Source organism: Homo sapiens, chromosome 9 (genome assembly GCF_000001405.40).
Source record: "Homo sapiens chromosome 9, GRCh38.p14 Primary Assembly".
Lineage (NCBI taxonomy): Eukaryota > Metazoa > Chordata > Mammalia > Primates > Hominidae > Homo > Homo sapiens.
The window spans coordinates 18,511,936-18,532,928 of NC_000009.12; the positions used below are offsets into that span (position 1 = coordinate 18,511,936).

Sequence of the window (20,993 nt, forward strand, 5' to 3'; positions counted from 1 at the left end):
TCAAGTGAGCCCCAAAGCAGGCTTTATCTGTTATTCTTCATCTGGTGTTATATGTTATCACCCTTGTTTTCCTTGGGAATGTTTGAATTTTTGTTTAAAAGAAAGATATACAAGTTCAGAGTGGGTATGACTACTCATGTCATTTGTATGAGATAGTCTTTTCATTTTGTTAAAGGAGATTGCATATTTTGGAACATATGCTTAAGAGTTTGCAGTTGCCTTCCTTTTACTTTTTGGGTTAAAGCCTAGTCTAAATATATTACCAAGACTTCTAATATTTCAGGTCATATATCTTAGGGGGGTGTATTGTTCCAAGATCTGATCTCCTTTCCGGAGGCAAATGCGCTAAGGCCAATGACTGAATGTTTAGGACCAATTTATGGCCTGGTTTATCCCATAAGCCAATTTGTTGGAATAAAAGATGGTTAGAAATGTGTTTGTTGTCCATAACATTTACTTGCCATATCAGGAATCTGTAACTCTTAGATGTCTTTTTCTGTTTATTAAAAAAAAAAATCCTTATGTGATTTGTTCAGTAGCCCTTCTAAAGTTTGTATATCTCCTCAATTTTAATTCATTCATTCAATAAATATTTATTGAATACCTACTATGTATTAAGCAAATTGGTAGGTATAATTAAGGATAGAAATCCCAAAGGGCCAGAGTCTCAAGAATTTACCAAATTATTAATTTGCCTCTGAGTTTCTACTGATTATAGTTGCAAGATATTTTAAGAACTAAGAGAAGTTCCCCCAGTTCTATAAATAATACATCTGTGGAACTGGGTTTTAAAAATATTTTATATGTATTGTTATTTTATTCTGGTAGCATCATTTTATATATTAATGCTTTCTTTTCCTAATTCAATTGTATGAATTCCTCCTTTTTTACAGTGCTTAGCACACAGCAGACATTCAAATGTTTAATAATTGGCTTTTAAACAGTATATGCAGTATTGTCATTTTATTTCTTCAATCTGTGCTTCAACTAAAGTGGAAGAAAACTATGTGATATTAAACATCTCTACAAAAGAATTGGGAACCTAATCCCTATACCACAGAACAAAGGTTGGTGGAACCAATTCTACTTTTGCAGAATTAAGAAAATATTTCAGACTTAGACCTAGACTGAGCTGGGAAGGATCTTAGAGCTAATCTCCTCTCTAATTCCCTCTTGGTTATTTCCCTTCCTCTTTTTATTTTTATTTTTTATTGTGGTAAGACAATTTAGCATGAGATCCACCATCTCAACCAAATTTGAAGTGTTCTATACAGTATTGTTAACTACACCAGCAGTGCTGTGCAGCAGATCTCTACAATTTAGCCATCTTGCATCACTGAAACTAGACTCCTTGAATGGCAAGTACTATTTCTCCCTCCGCCGCAACCTCTGGCAGCCTCCCTTCTACTGTCTGCTTCTATGTACTTGATTAGTCTAGATACCTTATATAAGTGGAATCACGTAGTACTTATCCTTATTTCTGACTTATTTCACTCAGGATAATGGCCTCAGAGTTCATTCATTGTTGTTCTTTCCCTTGCCGTGCAGACTGTTTACTTTGATAGTGTCCTACTTGCCTATTTTTGCTTTTGTTGCTTGTGCTTTTGGTGTTATAGCTGAGAGATCATTGCCAAATCAATATTAGGAAGCTTTGCCCCTGTATTTTCCAGTTGGAGTTTTATAGTTTCAAGTCTTATATTTAAGTCTATAGTCCATTTTGAGTTAATTTTTGTCTATGGTGAAATTTTGATAGCAATTTTATTCTTTCACATGTGGATATCCAGTTTTCCCAGCACCTTTCCCCATTGTGTATTCTTGGAACCTTTGTCAAAGATCAGTTGACTGTGTATGTGTGAGTGTTTTTCTAGGTGTTCTATTGGTGTATATGTCTGTCTTTACACCAAGGTGTCTTTACACTGGCATATCTTTACACCAGTACCATACTATTTTAATTTCTGTAGCTTATAAAATGTTTTGAAATCAGGAACTGTGATGCCTTCAGCTTTGTTCTCTCTCAATATTGTTCTGAACATTCCAGATTGTTTTTTGTTTCATATGAATTTTAGAACTGTTTTTTCCATTTCTATAATAATCAGTTACTGGGAGTTTGATAGGCAACGCATTGTATCTATAGATCACATTGGGTAACATGGACATTTTAACAACATTACTCTTCCACTCCATGAACATGGAAGGTTTTACCATTTATTTGTGTCATCTTTAATTTCTTTCAGTAATGTTTTGTGATTGTCAGTGTTCAAGTCCTTCACTTCCTTAGTTTATTCCTAAGTATTTTATTCTTTTTGATGTGATTGTAAATGAGACTGTTCTCTTAATTTCTTTTGTGGATAGTTTGTTATTAGTGTGTAGAATTGCAACTGATTTTTCTTTCTTTTTTTTTTTTTTTTTTTTTTTGAACGAAGTCTCGCTGTCTCCCAGGCTGGAGTGCAGCGGCACTATCTCGGCTCACTGCAAGCTCCGCCTCCGGGGTTCACGCCATTCTCCTGCCTCAGCCTCCCGAGTAGCTGGGACTACAGGCACCCGCCACCATGCCCGGCTACTTTTTTTGTATTTTTAGTAGAGACGGGGTTTCACCGTGTTCACCAGGATGGTCTCGATCTCCTGACCTCATGATCCGCCCGCCTCGGCCTCCCAAAGTGTGGGGATTACAGGCGTGAGCCACCACGCCCAGCCTGATTTTTCTATATTGATTTTGTATCCCTCAGTTTTACTCAATTTGTTTATTAGTCTTTCGTGAAGTATTTAGAGTTTTCTGCTTATAAGATCATGTCATCTGCAAATAGAGATAATTTAACTTCTTCCTTTCTTTTTTGGATGCCTTTTATTTATTTTTCTTGTCTTACTGACCTAAGACTTTCAGTACTCTTTTGAACAGAAGTGGCAAGAGTGAGCAACTTTGCCTTGTTCCTGATATTAGAGGAAAAGCCATTGAGTGTGATGTTAGCTGAGGACTTTTCACATATGGCCTTAGTTATTTTGAAGAAATTTCCTTCTATGCCTAGTTTGAGAGTTCACATCATGAAAGATGTTAAATTTTGCCAAATGATTTTTCTGCATCTTTCAAAGATGATCATGTGGTTTTTATTCCTCCTTCTGTTATGGAAGTAGTTCTTAATCCTAGTTACACTTTAGAATCACCTGGAAAGCTTTTAAAAAAAATACAGATATCTGGGCCCTACCAAAGAACAGTTAAATTAGGATCTCTTGGGGTAGATTCCTGACATCAGTAATTTTTTCAAAGCTCTCCAAATGATTTTAGTGTGTATCCAGAGTTTAAAATTGCTGCCGTCTCGAAGGGGGTGATAGTGCAATGATGAGGTTTATCTCTAGCTCCCTGAAAAAGTAGAGGTTAGGGTAAAGAAGAAAAGAAGAATTTTTGTTGTTTGTTTGTTTTTTGAGACAAGGTCTGGCTGTATCGCCCAGGCTGGAGTGCAGTGGTGCCATCTCGGCTCACTGCAACCTTTGCCTCCCAGTTTCAAACCGTCCTCCTATCTCAGCCTCCCGAGTAGCTGGGACGACAGGCATGAGCAATCATGCCTGGCTAATTTTTGTATTTTTTGTAGAGACAGGGTTTCACTATGTTGGCCAGGCTGGTGTCTCCCTCGTGAGCTCAAGTGATTTGCTCACCTTGGCCTCCCAAAGTGCTGGGATTACAGGGATGAGCTACCACAGGATTTTCTGATAAAGAAACTTCTTTTATGTTAAAAGGAGTTTCTGTAAAATGATCGAGTCCGCCATGTGGGAGAGAAGTCATGGATACAAGCATGTCAAGATGTAAGAGTGGGGATTGCCCTAGGTACTACTCTTTATCTACTTTTCTGGTACATACACAGTTGTCTAGTATTAGTCATCATCAGCCTTGCCCAAAGTATTAAATGAACTAAGTGATTTCTAACTTATTCTTTCATCCTTTTATTAATTAAGCCTACAAACATGATCCTTTAAGCTTCCAGCTTGTTGGTGAATGACCAGGTTAATGTCCTAGTGATTCTTGGGTAGTTTATGCAAATTCTCTGAGACTCACCTCTCCTTAAAGTCATTAAACTTCCTATCCACAGAGTTGAGTTGAGTTGAGTTTTCCATCTTCAATTCAGCATCCATCCCTCCAGCTCCTCCCTCACCTCAACTACCAAAAAAAAAAAAAAGAAAGAAAAAGAAAGATTTCCTAATGCTACTTGCATAATTTATTGAATTATTCTTCGGTTTGGGCCCAATTTGTAGAAAATAGAAAAGAGTTATCTGACCCTGTTTTCCTTAGTTTCAGTCACTGAGAAAGAGAGAGAAAGAAAGAAAGAGAGAGAGATGGAGACAGATACTGGATATTAAAAGCAAACAGAGGGTGGTCTGTCCAAATCATATACAATGGGGGATGGACAATTCACCTGGAGGCAGGAAGAATAACTTATAAAACACTAGGTGATATTACATCCATGCATGGATCATCAGCTGAAGCCCCTAACTAATATACCAACCTCAAATAGCTGCAGAGCCAGCCACTGCCTTTGGGCTTTGGAGTAGGAATCCCTGGTCCAGATAAAGACCCTTTCCTACTTAGGGAGAGAACCACATGTTGTGGGAACCAGAATTTGTAGCAGTGAGTTTCATTGCCTACTTTGTGGATTATTACTTCTATTTTATTTTTCATAAAACTACTGATTTTGAATATTGGCACCACTGTTCTCTACTTGTATGACATTGGACTAGATTTTAGTTTCTCTGGGATTTTGTTTGCTTATCTGTGAAATCAAGTGGGCAGTGCCTGGAACAGAACAAGTGTTCCATAAATATTTGTTGAACAGATATCCAAGGTGCCCTTCAACTCTGAAATGTGTGCCCCTAAAAAGGAGACAGTTTCTCCTCCAGATATGCAGTCAAGCCCATTTTGCTGTTAGATAGGAAGAGGAGCAAAAACTGCTCTTCATATAAATGGTTTTAAAGAAAAATGTTGTGACTCTCCAGACCCCTGTTTTGCAATGAACATCTGGGTGACATGGAAGGATTGGAGAACTTTTGTCTCTAGCCAAAATAATTCATAAATTTCTAGCTCAAGGCTTGTATCAGGAGAGGTTGTTAGAGTCCTAGAGTTTCATAATATACATTTTCCTCAAGGGGAAGATGGAAAAGTTGGACTTGATGTTGCTAAAACACATTTGTTTTTATTCTCATTCTTTGCCTCTTTTGGCTACTGAGCAAATGTAAGATCATTTGCAAACCTTATGGCATGTGTGTGTATACTATAAAGTGCATGTCCTTCTTGCTAGTGGATCTTAAGCCAAAGGCAGCAATCCCCCGGCCCCCACCCCTAGCCATCTTTCAGAGGAAGCAAATGCATTGCAAGGACAAACACAACTTATAATAAATATATGAAAATAAACGTGTTCATTAAAATAGAGCCCAATTTTTTTACTTTGGTAGCTATTTAATTTCATTTTAAACTTTTCATCTTTTTCTTTTTTTTTAATTTATTTTTTTTTATTATACTTTAAGTTTTAGGATACATGTGCACATTGTGCAGGTTAGTTACGTATGTATACATGTGCCATGCTGGTGCGCTGCACCCACGAACTCGTCATCTAGCATTAGGTGTATCTCCCAATGCTATCCCTCCCCCCTCCCCCCACACCACCACAGTCCCCAGCGTGTGATATTCCCCTTCCTGTGTCCATGTGATCTCATTGTTCAATTCCCACCTATGAGTGAGATTATGCAGTGTTTGGTTTTTTGTTCTTGCGATAGTTTACTGAGAATGATGATTTCCAATTTCATCCATGTCCCTATCATTTTTTATGGCTGCATAGTATTCCATGGTGTATATGTGCCACATTTTCTTAATCCAGTCTATCATTGTTGGACATTTGGGTTGGTTCCAAGTCTTTGCTATTGTGAATAATGCTTTTTCTTGTTATAGACAGATTTTAATCAGGTTTCTTGTAGAACAGATGTGAGGCCGAAAGTTCTTCATGGCCTGGAGTTATCTTTATAACAGTTCCTTCTGTATGTTTCTTCCTTCTTCCTTTGGCCATTTGTTCTTTCCTTCCCTCCTTCTATCCCTTGCTCCCTTCTTTCCTTCCTTCCTTCTCTCACGAAATATTTGTAAAGCACTAACAGTACACCAAGCATGTTGCTAGATTCTGCAGCTCAGAGACCAAACAGACTGCAAGGGAAAAAAGTAAATAATTGTCAAAAAATATTTACTATTTTTTATTTTAGATTCAGGGGGTACATGTGCATGTTTATTACATGGGTATATTGCATAATGGTGGGGTTTGGGCTTCCAGTATACCCATCACCCAAATATTGAACGTCGTACTCAATAGGCAGTTTTTCCACCCCGCCCCCCAACCCAGCCTTTCCTCTTTTGGAGTCCCCAGTGCCAAATATTTCCATCTTTATGTCCATGTGTACGCATTGTTTAGCTCCTGCTTATAGGTGAAAACCTATGGTATTTGATTTTCTGCTTCTGAGTTAATTCACTTAGGATAATGGCCTCCAGCTCCATCCATGTTGCCGTAAAGGACATGATTTCATTCTTTTTATGGCTAAGTAGTATTGATGGTGTATATGTACCACATTCTCTTTATCTAGTCATCCATTGATGGACATTTAGGCTGATTCTATGACTTTGCTATTGTGAATAGTGCTGCAATAAACATATGAATGCAGGTGTCTTTTTTATATAATGATTTCTTTTCCTTTGGTTAGATACCCAGTGTGGGATTGCTAGGTTAAATGGTAATATGGTTTTCTTTTCTTTTTTCTTTTTATTTTTTGAGACATATTCTCCCTCTGTCACCCAGGCTGGAGTGCAGTGGCACAATCTCAGCTCGCTGCAACCTCTGCCCCCCGGATTCAAGCGATTCTCCTGCCTCAGCCTCCTGAGTGCTGGGATTACAGGCATGCGCCATGATACCTGGCTAATTTTTGTATTTTTAGTAGAGACAGGGTTTCACCATGATGGCCAGGCTGGTTTTCTAAAAGTAAAAGAGGCATGGGTGCTACAGGATGGTGTCCTAGAACTTTAAAATGCTGGCCTTTTGCTACCTCTCTGCCTCCTCTCCTGGTGAGCTCTTTACCTACAATGTCCCTCCCTCCCCATACTCACCTGTGAAAATCCTAAATGTTATTTAAAGCCAACTTCACCTGTACCCCCTGAGTCTCACCATGCTATATTTGTGAGGAATTTGTTTGCATCACCTTTAATTCACCTTTACATAGTCTGGCTGTGTTATCGTTATTCATATGGTACTGTCTCTAATTACATTATCAGTGTTATGGTCTCAGGTTTTATTTTCCTTTTCTTTAAACCTTCTTGCCTTGCACAGAGTAGGTATCTAGTCACTGTTAGGTGAATTTACTGAGTTAAACATAGGGTAAGAACCTAGTGTAGTGCTCGAGGGAGCAGGAGGAGGAAGCGAGGGCTGAATCGCAAAGTCTCCTTTCTCCCATCACATTCTTGGGACTCCTATCACCCATATAGGACCTCCCACCTAAGATACTTCCTTTGTAAGCTATTGCCCTCTCCTCAATCTCTGCCTTTTCAAATTCCTTCTGTATTTAATATTCAGATCATTCCTATGAGTTGTTCACCAGGCATTATGCTGTTGTGTGTTCTATTCTGATTCGTGTGGATTTGTTCAAGTAAATAATAACTTTGATAAGAATCAGGGAGGCCACCATTTTTGTGTCTTTCACAGTGCCTTGCTTAGTACTAGTATAGACTGGATACCCAATGAATGTGTTAAGTGACTGCAAATTGGAAAACATTATACAAAAAGCGTGTTAACCAGGAAGCACTGCCCAGGACTCACTTTCCGCATTGGAGTGCTTATTGTACATTGTCTCATTAGATTTTTTGAGCAGTATGTTCAGAGCAGTTTCTGGCTTCGTTAGAAGCTGGGCATGACCTTTATGGTCTACAGTGTCATCATTCTCACCTTTTTCTTTTCTGATTACATGAGTATACTCCTCATTTTCATAACTGCAGCCCATATTTGTGAAAACTTGATGCTTTGCTATAGCATGTCTTTCTTTGAAGAACAGGCAGGGATATGTAAAATCATACTTGTTTGGAAAAAAAAATTGGCAGTGATTTTTCTAGTTATAGTTTAGACATACCAAACAGTCATAATAGCAAAAAGCCAATTTGAAACTTAAAGGACAAACTCCACAATTCAGCCTATAATATTCTCATGTGGGTCTAAATTTTAATTTACCAGCTTTGCAGCCTCCTAACTGTTGCTCAAAAATCTGTAAAAGTGCAGAGGTGCTTTCCTTGGTTCCATATGGTCGAGAGAAGATCAAACAACCAGAGAGGATGTTGTCTTAGACCGTTTACCCCAAACCTACATAATTTCTATTTATATCAAATTTAGTCTCCACAATAAGTTTTAGTAACTCTCTGGATATACATAAATCAGTGTTTCCAAGTTGGCACTACATTCAGAACATTTTTATAATGACAGATTAGGATAGAGCAGAAGTGTTGAATTACAAAACTGAGGTCACAAAAATATGTTATCTATGCCAAAGAAACACTTTTAAGTCTAGTTCACAAGTTACAGCACCATTTTTCAATCTGGACCTTCACTCTCCTCTGATCAGTTTAAAATTGCTTTGAGAATGCGGCTTTAAGGCTGACTTTTCTTTTGGCTCCCTAGGGCCTTGTTAGTGCCTCTGGCACACTGGGATGAGCTAACATGGCACCAGGGATGTGTCTGTTCCCAGCCAGCTCACCTACTGATGGATGATGCCTGGCAGCATGCCACCTTGTTGTTTCTTGTATTATTACAACAGAAAGCATTTTCAAAAGCCACATTTATCAAGTCATCATAATTGTTTGGCTTGTATATCTATCTATTCAAAAAAAAAATTAATCTCTCCCTTAGTACTAATCTGTTTGAGCCATGTGATGTATCCCATGTAGAAAAGGCAGTGGAAAACTGCTTCTGCGTGGGATTCAGGGACCTTTCATCTAAATGCTTAGGAGAAAGAGAGATTTTTTATATATGCTTTTGAAAGTCCCAAAGCACCAAGAACCTCTGTTTCCGCCTTTCCACTGGTGGTTATATGTACAGGGGATGCATTTATTTCTAGCATTTTAGTGGCTTTGTTCAATGAAGGAGATTTAACCTCAAATGAGGGAAAAATGTGAATGTTAGCCTCAAAAAAGGACAAAGACACATTTTAATGTTTAAGGTCAGTTTCCATAGGCAGGTGTTACCAGGTTAAACATTACTTGTTATGAAGAACATTGTAAGCAAATTTCTTATTATTTGAGGTACAGGGTTATCTGGAAGCATGTGGCAGAGAGGAGGGGCCTCAAAGTACATTTTTAAAGTACTAAAAGAGTGTAATTAACTTGTTTGTAACACAAAGGATAAGTGCTTGAGGGGATAGATACCCATTTACCATGAAGTGATTATTATGCATTGCATGCCTGTATCAAAACCTCTTCTGCACCCCATAAATACATACACCTACTAGATACCCACAAAAATTAAAAATTTAAAAAAAGCATTGTCCTGAATAAATATATATTTATTCAATGTTTATTAAAAATAATTTAAATATGTTAATATTAATAAAGTACTCACTAGGGATGCATACTGGAACATGTCTAATTGTTTAGAGATATGATATATAATGAAGATACAGTATAAGCATGGTTATCTGCAGATACTTTTAAAGAAGAGACAGTGCTGAATTGCCTCCTCTTGTTGGGAGCAAGCCCCCTCAAAATAATGCTTTTACATAAACAAGTTTCATTGTAATTTTTGTTTATGATGTTATAAATTAGAATTAAATAATAATTATTTTAAACACAGAATAAAATGTAGAACATGATAGAATGACATTTTTAAGTACAAGAGTAAAGCAAAGCTAAGAAAAAGATTAGAATATGGGACTTGTGAAACCCACAGGGATGGCTTGTCATCTAACTCCTCTTTCTCTCCCATGTGAGGTAAGACCACAAGTAACCATCTCTTATGCACAGACTCCAGTTCTAGTCCCTGGGTGTTCAGCATCCAGTCTGAACCACAGATGAAGACAGTGAGCATCTGAGAAGAGCTTTACACACAGGGTCCAGTGGTTCATATAGTTTCCTTTTTCATGGTCAAGTTGACTGGTATCAAGTATTTCCTGAAAGAAACTCTTACAATAATGTGTCTGTGCTAGGGACTACTAGAGGGAGGAGGAGAGAGGGGGTGGTGAGCTGAAAAACTACCTAACAGGTACTATGCTCACTACCTGGTGACAGGATCATCCCTAACCCATACCTCAGCATCATGCAGTATACCCGTGTAACAAACCTGCACTTGTACCCGAGTCTAAAATAAAAGTTGAAATTATTTAAAATAATAATAACAATGTATCTGCAGAAAATGAAAAGAAGCTGACAGTACACTTGCACTTGTTTCTCTCAGTTGTTCTCACAATTTATTATTCCTCTTGAGTTTTTTGTAGAGTCTCAGGAATGTAGAATTTTTATTTTATTTTATTATACTTTAAGTTCTAAGGTACATGTGCACAATGTGCAGGTTTGTTACATATGTATATATGTGCCATGTTGGTGTGCTGCACCCATTAACTCGTTATTTACATTAAGTATATCCCCTAATGCTATCCCGCCCCCCTCCCCACACCCCATGACAGGCCCCAGTGTGTGATGTTCCCCTTCCTGTGTCCAAGTGTTCTCACTGTTCAATTCCCACCTATGAGTGAGAACATGCGATGTTTGTTTTTTTTTTCCCTGCAATAGTTTGCTGAGAATGATGGTTTCCAGCTTCATCCATGTCCCTACATAGGACATGAACTCATCCTTTTTATGGCTGCATACTATTCCATGGTGTATATGCGCCACATTTTCTTAATCCAGTTGATCATTCATGGACATTAGGTTTGGTTCCAAGTCTTTGCTATTGTGAATAGTGCCGCAATAAACATATGTGTGCATGTGTCTTTATAGCAGTATGATTTATAATCCTTTGGGTATATACACAGTAATGGGATGGCTGGGTCAAATGGTATTTCTAGTTCTAGATCCTTGAGGAATCGCCACACTGTCTTCCACAATGGTTGAACCAGTTTACACTCCCACCAATAGTGTAAAAGTGTTCCTATTTCTCCACATCCTCTCCAGCACCTGTTGTTTCCTGACTTTTTAATGATCCCCATTCTAACTGGTGTGAGATGGTATCTCATTGTGGTTTTGATTTGCATTTCTCTGATGGCCAGTGATGATGAGCATTTTTTCATGTGTCTGTTGGCTGCATAAATGTCTTCTTTTGAGAAGTGTCTGTTCATATCCTTTTCCCACTTTTTGATGGGGTTTTTTGTTTTTTTCTTGTAAATTTGTTTGAATTCTTTTTAGATTGTGGATATTAGCCCTTTGTCAGATGAGTAGGTTGCAAAAATTTTCTCCCATTCTGTAGGTTGCCTGTTCACTATGATGGTAGTTTCTTTTGCTGTGCAGAAGCTCTTTAGTTTAATTAGATCCCATTTGTCAGTTCTGGCTTTTGTTGCCACTGCTTTTGGTGTTTTAGACATGAAGTCCTTGCCCATGCCTATGTCCTGAATGGTATTGCCTAGGTTTTCTTCTAGGGTTTTTATGGTTTTAGGTCTAACGTTGAAGTCTTTAATCCATCTTGAATTAATTTTTGTATAAGGTGTAAGGAAGGGATCCAGTTTCAGCTTTCTACATATGGCTAGCCAGTTTTCCCAGCACCATTTATTAAATAGGGAATCCTTTCCCCATTGCTTGTTTTTCTCAGGTTTGTCAAAGATCAGATAGTTGTAGATATGCGGCGTTATTTCTGAGGGCTCTGTTCTGTTCCATTGATCTATATCTCTGTTTTGGTACCAGTACCATGCTGTTTTGGTTACTGTAGCCTTGCAGTATAGTTTGAAGTCAGGTAGCGTGATGCCTCCAGCTTTGTTCGTTTGGCTTAGGATTGACTTGGTGATGTGGGCTCTTTTTTGGTTCCATATGAACTTTAAAGTAGTTTTTTCCAATTCTGTGAAGAAAGTCATTGGTAGCTTGATGGGGATGGCATTGAATCTGTAAATTACCTTGGGCAGTATGGCCATTTTCACGATATTGATTCTTCCTACCCATGAGCATGGAATGTTCTTCCATTTGTTTGTATCCTCTTTTATTTCCTCGAGCAGTGGTTTATAGTTCTCCTTGAAGAGGTCCTTCACATCCCTTGTAAGTTGGATTCCTAGGTATTATTCTTTCTGAAGCAATTGTGAATGGGAGTTCTCTCATGATTTGGCTCTCTGTTTGTCTGTTATTGGTGTATAAGAATGCTTGTGATTTTTGCATATTTATTTTGTATCCTGAGACTTTGCTGAAGTTGCTTAGCAGCTTAAGGAGATTTTGGGCTGAGACAGTGGGGTTTTCTAAATATACAATCATGTCATCTGCAAACAGGGACAATTTGACTTCCTCTTTTCCTAATTGAATACCCTTTATTTCTTTCTCCTGCCTGATTGCCCTGGCCAGAACTTCCAACACTATGTTGAATAGGAGTGGTGAGAGAGGGCATCCCTGTTTTGTGCCAGTTTTCAAAGGGAATGCTTCCAGTTTTTGCCCATTCAGTATGATATTGGCTGTGGGTTTGTCATAAATAACTCTTATTATTTTGAGATATGTTCCATTGATACCTAGTTTATTGAGAGTTCTTAGCATGAAGGGGTGTTGAATTTTATTGAAGGCCTTTTCTGCATCTATTGAGATAATCATGTGGTTTTTGTCTTTGGTTCTGTTTATATGCTGGATTACGTTTATTGATTTGTGTATGTTGAACCAGCCTTGAATCCCAGGGATGAAGCCCACTTGATCATGGTGGACAAGCTTTTTGATGTGCTGCTGGATTCGGTTTGCCAGTATTTTATTGAGGATTTTTGAATCGATGTTCATCAGGGATATTGGTCTAAAATTCTCTCTTTTTGTTGTGTCTGTGCCAGGCTTTGGTATCAGGATGATGCTGGCCTCATAAAATGAGTGAGGGAGGATTCCCTCTTTTTCTATTGATTGGAATAGTTTCAGAAGGAATGGTACCAGCTCCTCCTTGTACATCCAGTAGAATTCGGCTGTGAATCTGTCTGGTCCTGGACTTTTTTTGGTTGGTAGGCTATTAATTATTGCCTCAATTTCAGAGCCTGTTATTGGTCTAGTCAGGGATTCAACTTCTTCCTGGTTTAGTCTTGGGAGGGTGTATGTGTCCAGGAATTTATCCACTTCTTCTAGATTTTCTACTTTATTTGCATAGAGGTGTTTATAGTATTCTCTGATGGTAGTTTGTATTTCTGTGGGATCAGTGGTGATATCCCCTTTATCATTTTTTATTGCATCTATTTGATTCTTCTCTCTTTTCTTCTTTATTACTCTTGCTAGTGGTCTATCAATTTTGTTGATCTTTTCAAAACACCAGCTCCTGGATTCATTGATTTTTTTGAAGGGTTTTTTGTGTGTCTATCTCTTTCAATTCTGCTCTGATCTTAGTAGTTTCTTGCCTTCTGCTAGCTTTTGAATGTGTTTGCTCTTGCTTCTCTAGTTCTTTTAATTGTGATGTTAGGGTGTCAATTTTAGATCTTTCTTGCTTTCTCTTGTGGGCATTTAGTGCTGCAAATTTTTCCTGTACACACTGCTTTAAATGTGTCCCAGAGATTCTGGTATGTTGTGTCTTTGTTCTCACTGGTTTCAAAGAACATCTTTATTTCTGCCTTCATTTCATTTTGTACCCAGTAGTCATTCAGGAGCAGGTTGTTCAGTTTCCATGTAGGTGAGTGGTTTTGAGTGAGTTTCTTAATCCTGAGGTCTAGTTTGATAGCACTGTGGTCAGAGAGACAGTTTGTTATAATTTCTGTTCTTTTACATTTGCTGAGGAGAGCTTTACTTCCAACAATGTGGTCAATTTTGGAATTAGTGCAATGTGGTTTCGAGAAGAACGTATATTCTGTTGATTTGGGGTGGAGAGTTTTGTAGATGTCTATTAGATCCACTTGGTACAGAGCTGAGTTCAATTCCTGGATAACCTTTTTAACTTTCTCTCATTGATCTGTCCAATGTTGACAGTGGGGTGTTAAAGCCTCCCATTATTATTGTGTGGGAGTCTAAGTCTCTTTGTAAGTCTCTAAGGACTTGCTTTATGAATCTGGGTGCTCCTGTGTTGGCTGCATGTATATTTAGGATAGTTAGCTGCTGTTGTTGAATTGATCCCTTTACCATTATGTAATAGCCTTCTTTGTCTCTTTTGATCTTTGTTGATTTAAAGTTTGTTTTATCAGAGACTAGGATTGCAACCCCTGCCTTTGTTTTCCATTTGCCGCGTAGATCTTCCTCCATCCCTTTGTTTTGAGCCTATGTGTGTCTCTGCACATGAGATGGGTCTCCTGAATACAGCACACTGATGGATCTTGGCTCTTTATCCAATTTGCCAGTCTGTGTCTTTTAATTGGAGCATTTAGCCCATTTACATTTAAGGTTAATATTGTTATGTGTGAATTTGATCCTGTCATTATGATGTTAGCTGGTTATTTTGCTCATTAGTTGACGCAGTTTCTTCCCAGCATCAATGGTCTTTACAATTTGGCATGTTTTTGCAGTGGCTGTTGCCAGTTGTTCCTTTCCATGTTTAGTGCTTCCTTCAGGAGCTCTTTTAGGGCAGGCCTTGTGGTAACAAAATCTCTCAGCATTTGCTTGTCTGTAAAGGTTTTTATTTCTCCTTCACTTATGAAGCTTAGTTTGGAGAATTTTTTTAACTGGCTCATTGGGGGCAACCTCCTGCAGTATAGCTCCAGTGAGTACTGAAATGCTCATTTGATGTGACAGGAGAAACTGTGTTCCAGTACTACTTAAAATCCCTTGGTGGGGTTGCAAATCCGCTTATCTTGTTCTAATCTATGGTCGCTCTAAGATCCACAGTCTAAATGGCCCAGGATCCCTGGGGCTTGAATTGCGAAACATGGCTTTATGTCTTTTCTCTTGTAAAGAGCTCATAGATTTCTTTGGATGACTGAAAGAAGAGAGATAGGCTTGTATTCACAGTGCTTTAGGAGTTTGAGGTGGGAGGATCAGTGGTACCCAGGATTTCATGGTTACAGTGAGCTATGATAGTGCCACTGCACTCCAGGCTGGGTAACAGAATGAGATGAGATGCTGTCTCAAAAAAGCAAAAGCAAAAAGAAAAAAACCAGATGGACCATCCTGCTTTAAAATTCTTTGCCATAAGTCCGTATTTGAAAAGCTAGTGATATTCAGGGAAATACAGTAACCCATTCTTGCTTAGCAACATTCTTTGCTTTTTAGCAATCAGAGATAAAGCCTGGGGTGCCATGAGCCTAATATAAGTGCAATTGTCCTTAAAAACCCAGAAGTGTTAAATGCAGAATGACCAGATTTTCTTGAAACAATGTATTGACATCAGGTATAAGTCTGGCTATGTCACCAGAAGGATCTATTGCTTAGTGAAGAGATGATAAGAATTTTAAAGTAAAGGAGCGATAAATCAAATGCATGCCCCTTTTTAAAAAGGCTTATATGAGAAGGGGGATGGGGGAACAAGAAGCTAACAAGTTGTTTGACCCTAGAGAAAAATCTTTTAATTTTTCATGTCATTTCACCTCTTCTCAGGTTGTTAAATGACAGTTGAAACTATAACATCAGGATTTTAAGAAGTGGAAGTTTAGATGGTGTATTATGCGTTAATGAGAGACAAATAAAGTATGTATCCAGTATATACTAATCTCTTAAGTGAATTAAAGACTGAATAATTCACACATAATAGCTTGTGATTGAGATTATTTCTATTTTTAAGAGAAGGAATTAAATCAAAATCTGACTGGGCAGGAGTAAAATGGTGATTAAGCAAATAAGGAATTTTTGTTGCAAATTTGAATTAGAATATATATATATGTATTCCACCCGCCCCCCTCAAGATGGAGTCTTGCTCTGTCGCCCAGGCTGGAATGCAATGGTACAATCTCGGCTCACTGCAAGCTCCACCTCCTGGGTTCCAGTGATTCTCCTGCCTCAGCCTCCTGAGTAGCTGGGATTACAGGTGCCTGCCACCATGCCCGGCTAATTTTTGTATTTTTATTAGAGACGGGGTTTCATCACGTTGGCCAGGCTGGTCTTGAACTCCTGACCTCACATGATCCACCTGTCTTGGCCGCCCAAAGTGCTGGGATTACAGGCATGAGCCACCACACCTGGCCCATTTTTTTATTTTTATTTTTATTTTATTTTAAGTTTGGGGTTCATGTGCAGGATATGCAGGTTTGTTACAAAGGTAAACGTGTGCCATGGTAGTTTGCTGCACAGATCAACCCATCACCTAGGTATTGAGCCCAGCATTCATTAGCTATTCTTTCTGGTACTCTCCCTCCCCACAGCCTCCCCAGGCCCCAGTGTGTGTTGTTACCCCCATGTATACACGTGTTCTCACCCCTCACGTATACATGTGTTCTCATCATTCAGCTCCCGCTTGTAAGTGAGATTGATTTTCTGTTCCTCCATTAGTTTGCTGAGGATAATGGTTTCCAGCTCCATCCATGTCCCTGCAAGGGGCATGATCTTGTTCTTTTTTATGGCTGCATAGTATTCCATGGTGTATATGGACCACATTTTCTTTTTCCAGTCAATAATTAGTGGCCATTTGGGTTGATTACATGTCTTTGCTATTGTGAATAGTGCTAGAAGAAACATACCTGTGCATATTACATTTTTATATTAAAATATATTCTAATACTTATATTTTGTTCTTTCATACTTGACCCAGTTTCTGAGTTCATAATTGATATAGTTCTGAACTCCCGAAACACAGTGCTGTAACTATTTTATAGTTTATATTGGGAGGACATATTTATTTAAATCCTCTCTTATCATTTGTCTATAGCTTTTCTCAGACGTCATTTTGGACTCAAATTTCAAATGTTTGTTTTCATCCCCAGAGGTAAATTTTACTTTGTTTAAATGTGAAAGAAATCACTCAGCTGTTTTATATTAACGACCTGTTAAAAAAAAGAAGGAAAACATTTTTTACTGCTTAATTCTCTGACAGGGATTTTGTGCCCAGATAAATGCCTTGGATGAAAAAATTCACACTTGGCAGGAATTAAATCCTTGTGGTGGAATAGTCACCTAGCTACTTATGTGAAATTTATATTCAAATTTCATAAATTTTAACTTTCAAAAATATAAGCTTCTCTGCACTGAAGTTCTTTCACATTGCATTTTACTGATGAACATGGTTTTCTTGGAGATGTTCCAATGTGTATCTACCTATGTTTTTCTAGAAACGGATTTACCAGAATTGAGAAGTAGTTTATAAACTGATATAATAACAACAAGACAGGTCAACCTCAGGCCTATTCCCTTCTCAGCTTTCCGAATTTTTAGCTTAGTGTTAGTATACTATGTATCTTGAGCACATCATGTTCCTTTTCTTATTGTTTGATAGACTTAGGAGTTAGTCACGCCTAGATTCCAATCCCTGGTTCACTTTTCTGTGTATGTAACTTTAAGCCTCAGCTTTCTCTGCCTCAGTTTTCTCATCTATTAAATAGGAATAATAAAATTTTGCGAGTTGTTGGAAGATTAGAGATAGTATACGCAGAATACCTAACACTGGGCCAAATATCTATAGTAGGCACTGAATAAATAGTAGAGACTAGTTAGTGTTTCTATTATAATCCACAATTTAATAGTAGAGACTAGTGTTTCTGTTATAGTTCACAATTTGATAATGTCTTTCAATAATGATCACCTTGCCATACTTAAGCATTACCACCTTAATATCATATTTCAGTCAAATTAAAGAAGCTCTCAAAAAAGTAATATATTAAAGGGAAGATAGTTCAGAGGCATCCATAAATTACCTGCAAATCCATATTAGGCATTAGACAACTACAGGATATTCTTTGGAAATTATGACAAGTGGGTTTTCTTTGCTTTGCTTTTGTTTTGTTTTGCTTTTCCTAAATAATAAGTATTTAAATCCATCTTTTACATTCTGTGCAGATATCTCCTATTATTCAGTGATGCCTGTAAAATTTGTGTAGGTATTTGCAGGTTAAAATATCGGGGAAAAGGCTCATTTAAACTATTGAAACAAGTATTTTTCTGCTTTGTTTTGTTTAGGAAGCAGTATCTCTGTAATAATCCCTTGGCATTTGAACAGAGCTTTTGTACATTATTTCAGTTGGTGATCCTAACTTTGTGCATAGGCTTTCCTAAATTCATTTGGCAGGTAAGGAAACTAAGACCCTAAGAGAGCAAGAGGTTTATGCAAGTGGAAGAACAAAATCTATATCCCAGATCTTCAGGCTCCTAATTCAGATTTGTTTCCATAATTTTTTTCATGGATATAAGGTTAGGTAAAAAATTTTTAAAAAGGATGAAAAACATATACTATTAAAGTCCCAATAGTTAACACCAGGGTTTACCTTTTAAAAGCAAAATCTCACCATTGAATCTCCTCCGTTTTAATACCTTCAGTGGTTCCCCTTTGTGTATTACAAAGTTCAAAATTAGTAGGTATTTCACTCACCTACTGCAATTCCCCACATAAACCCTAAATCCCCCGAAAACCAGAACTGTTTGAAAATCTGCAGGCATGCCAAATCTTCTTGTGCCTCTATGCCTTTGCTTAGTTTCTTCTCCATATATCCTTGACCTCCTTTCAATAGCTATTATATTTTTACATCTATTATGTACTTAATTAATTTATCTAACATCTACATAATGCTTACTGTGTCCTAGGCACAGTCTGAAGTGATTCACAAATACTAACTCAGTTAATTCTCATAATTCCAGGAGATAAGTAATATCATCCCATTTTACCAAAGATAAAACTGAGATATAGAGCCAAGATTCTAGAAAGCAGAGCCTATTTTTAAACTGGGTACTCTTAATCACTGCACTGTGGTACGTATGCAGCAGGAACTTCAAAATTGAAAAGCATACCACATTTTGCAAACACCAGTGTCTAGATGGGATGCTACCAAAGACCTTCCAGTTTTAGAATTCAATTACCTTGTAAATTTACCATCAGCTGGAACCTAGCTCTCATATTGTTGGAGTCAGAAACCTGATATTTTTCAGCAATAGCACCAAGAACACATCCTTTTCTTAGGGGTGTACTCACAATAACTCAGCCCATGAGATGAATATTTCAAACTAGAATGCCAGTTGATTAATTTACAGCAAATAACAGAACTGTCCATCACATGGACCAGAGTACTCATGTCAGCATGGCCAGCACTCTCTGTTCTCAGCAGTCATGAAAATCCAGATCACTCTTGGCAAGTAGCTTGATCAACCTGACACCGTAATGAGGGGTGGTACTTGGATGAGCTGAATAATCATCGGTATCAGTAAGGTCAGCATGAGTCATCTATGTGGAGATTGCAGCAGTCTTGTCAATGGGACATGCAGGACTTGAAATTCATTCGCCTTTTGTCTAGGACATTGCTGGACTGGACACTGACACACATGTGTCTTTGTCATGCTCCTTATTTCTATGGTTTCAATGTGTGGCCAGCCATTCCTTTTCTATTTTTAATGCATAGTAATAGTCAGTCTGATTACAGTCAAGTCTTTAGGAATGGGACCCTTTCTATATTTTTAAGATAGTCTGTGTATAATTGTGTTGTCAGATGACATTTTCCTTCTGGTAACATTCTCAAGACCTAATACAAATGCTATATGCATTTCTTACACCAAATTATATAATTAATTTTCTTAATAACAAAGACCAAGTCATATTCATTCTTCTTTGTATTCTTCACAGTAATTTCATTGCCAAACACATCACAGAAGCTCTGTGGACGTTTATTGAATAAAAAAGTAAATTAGGAGGCATTAAAGCATTGTGATCATGAGTGTGTGAGTTCCGAAGCCAGATGGCCTGGTTTCAAATTTTAGCTCTACAACTTAACAGTTGTGTCATTTTGGCAAGTTACTTAACCTTCCTAAGCTTCGGTTTTGTCATCTGTAAAATGGATATGATGATGGTACTCTATCTCTCCGGGTTTTTGAGAATATTAAATAAATTTATACATATAACAAACTTATAAATGTACCTGGAATTCTAAAACTACTAGGTATTAGTATAATCATTCTCACAGGATTTTGTAGTGTATCTTTACTTTTTAAAAAATGTGTGACATATTTTGAAAAGAGTATAGTACTGTTTTTCATGATTTAAGTGTCAGCATTGAACGTTTTATCAAAAGTTGATTGTTTTTGTTCATAGGAATGCAGTAAAATGGAAACTCTCATGTATTGCTGGTGGGAGTATGTAATGGTACAACTTTTATGGAGTGCATTTTGGCAATATTTATGAAGAGCCTTACAAAAGTTCATTCCCTTTAGTCTAGTAATTCTCTTTCTAGAAATTTATCTATTCAAAAAACACAGTCAGAAACTTTGATAAAACACATGCACAAAGATGGTTTACCATACTATCATTTATCAAACACCAAAGTGGAAATTACTTAAATGACAAATAATGAAAGAATAATTATGGAAAAAATTACATCAGTTGATAGAATATTATGTAGCTCTCAAAATGGTGTTTTTAAAGTTATTTAATACTGTGAGAAAATGCCTCCAAAAAATTTTAAGTGGAAACAAAAACAGGCTACAAAATTGCGTAAGTGATGTGATTTTTTTTATTTATACTGGAAAGGACTAAATAAATCAAAATAATAGTGATTGTCTTTAGATGAGGCAACTACAGGGGACTTCTTTTTTTTTCTTTTTGGTAATCTGTCTTTTCCAAAACCTCTGTAATGAGTATATATTTTATAAATAAAAATAATTTTTTAAGAATTATGACTTTCCACATTCTTAGAATTATGATTTTAAGACATGTTGAATATTAATTCCATTAATTCCAATTTATTTTCAAGATCTAAGTTTTTCAGTGAAATATATCTTCAATTTTATATCAGAAATAAGAAGA

General features: G+C 37.3%; 1 protein-coding gene across 16 annotated transcripts in view; it reads left to right on the forward strand.

Moving 5' to 3' along the window:
• ADAMTSL1 (ADAMTS like 1) overlaps positions 1-20,993 on the forward strand; it is a 1,004,318-nt gene that overhangs the window by 605,303 nt on the left and 378,022 nt on the right. The gene's annotated exons all lie outside the window — the stretch shown is intronic.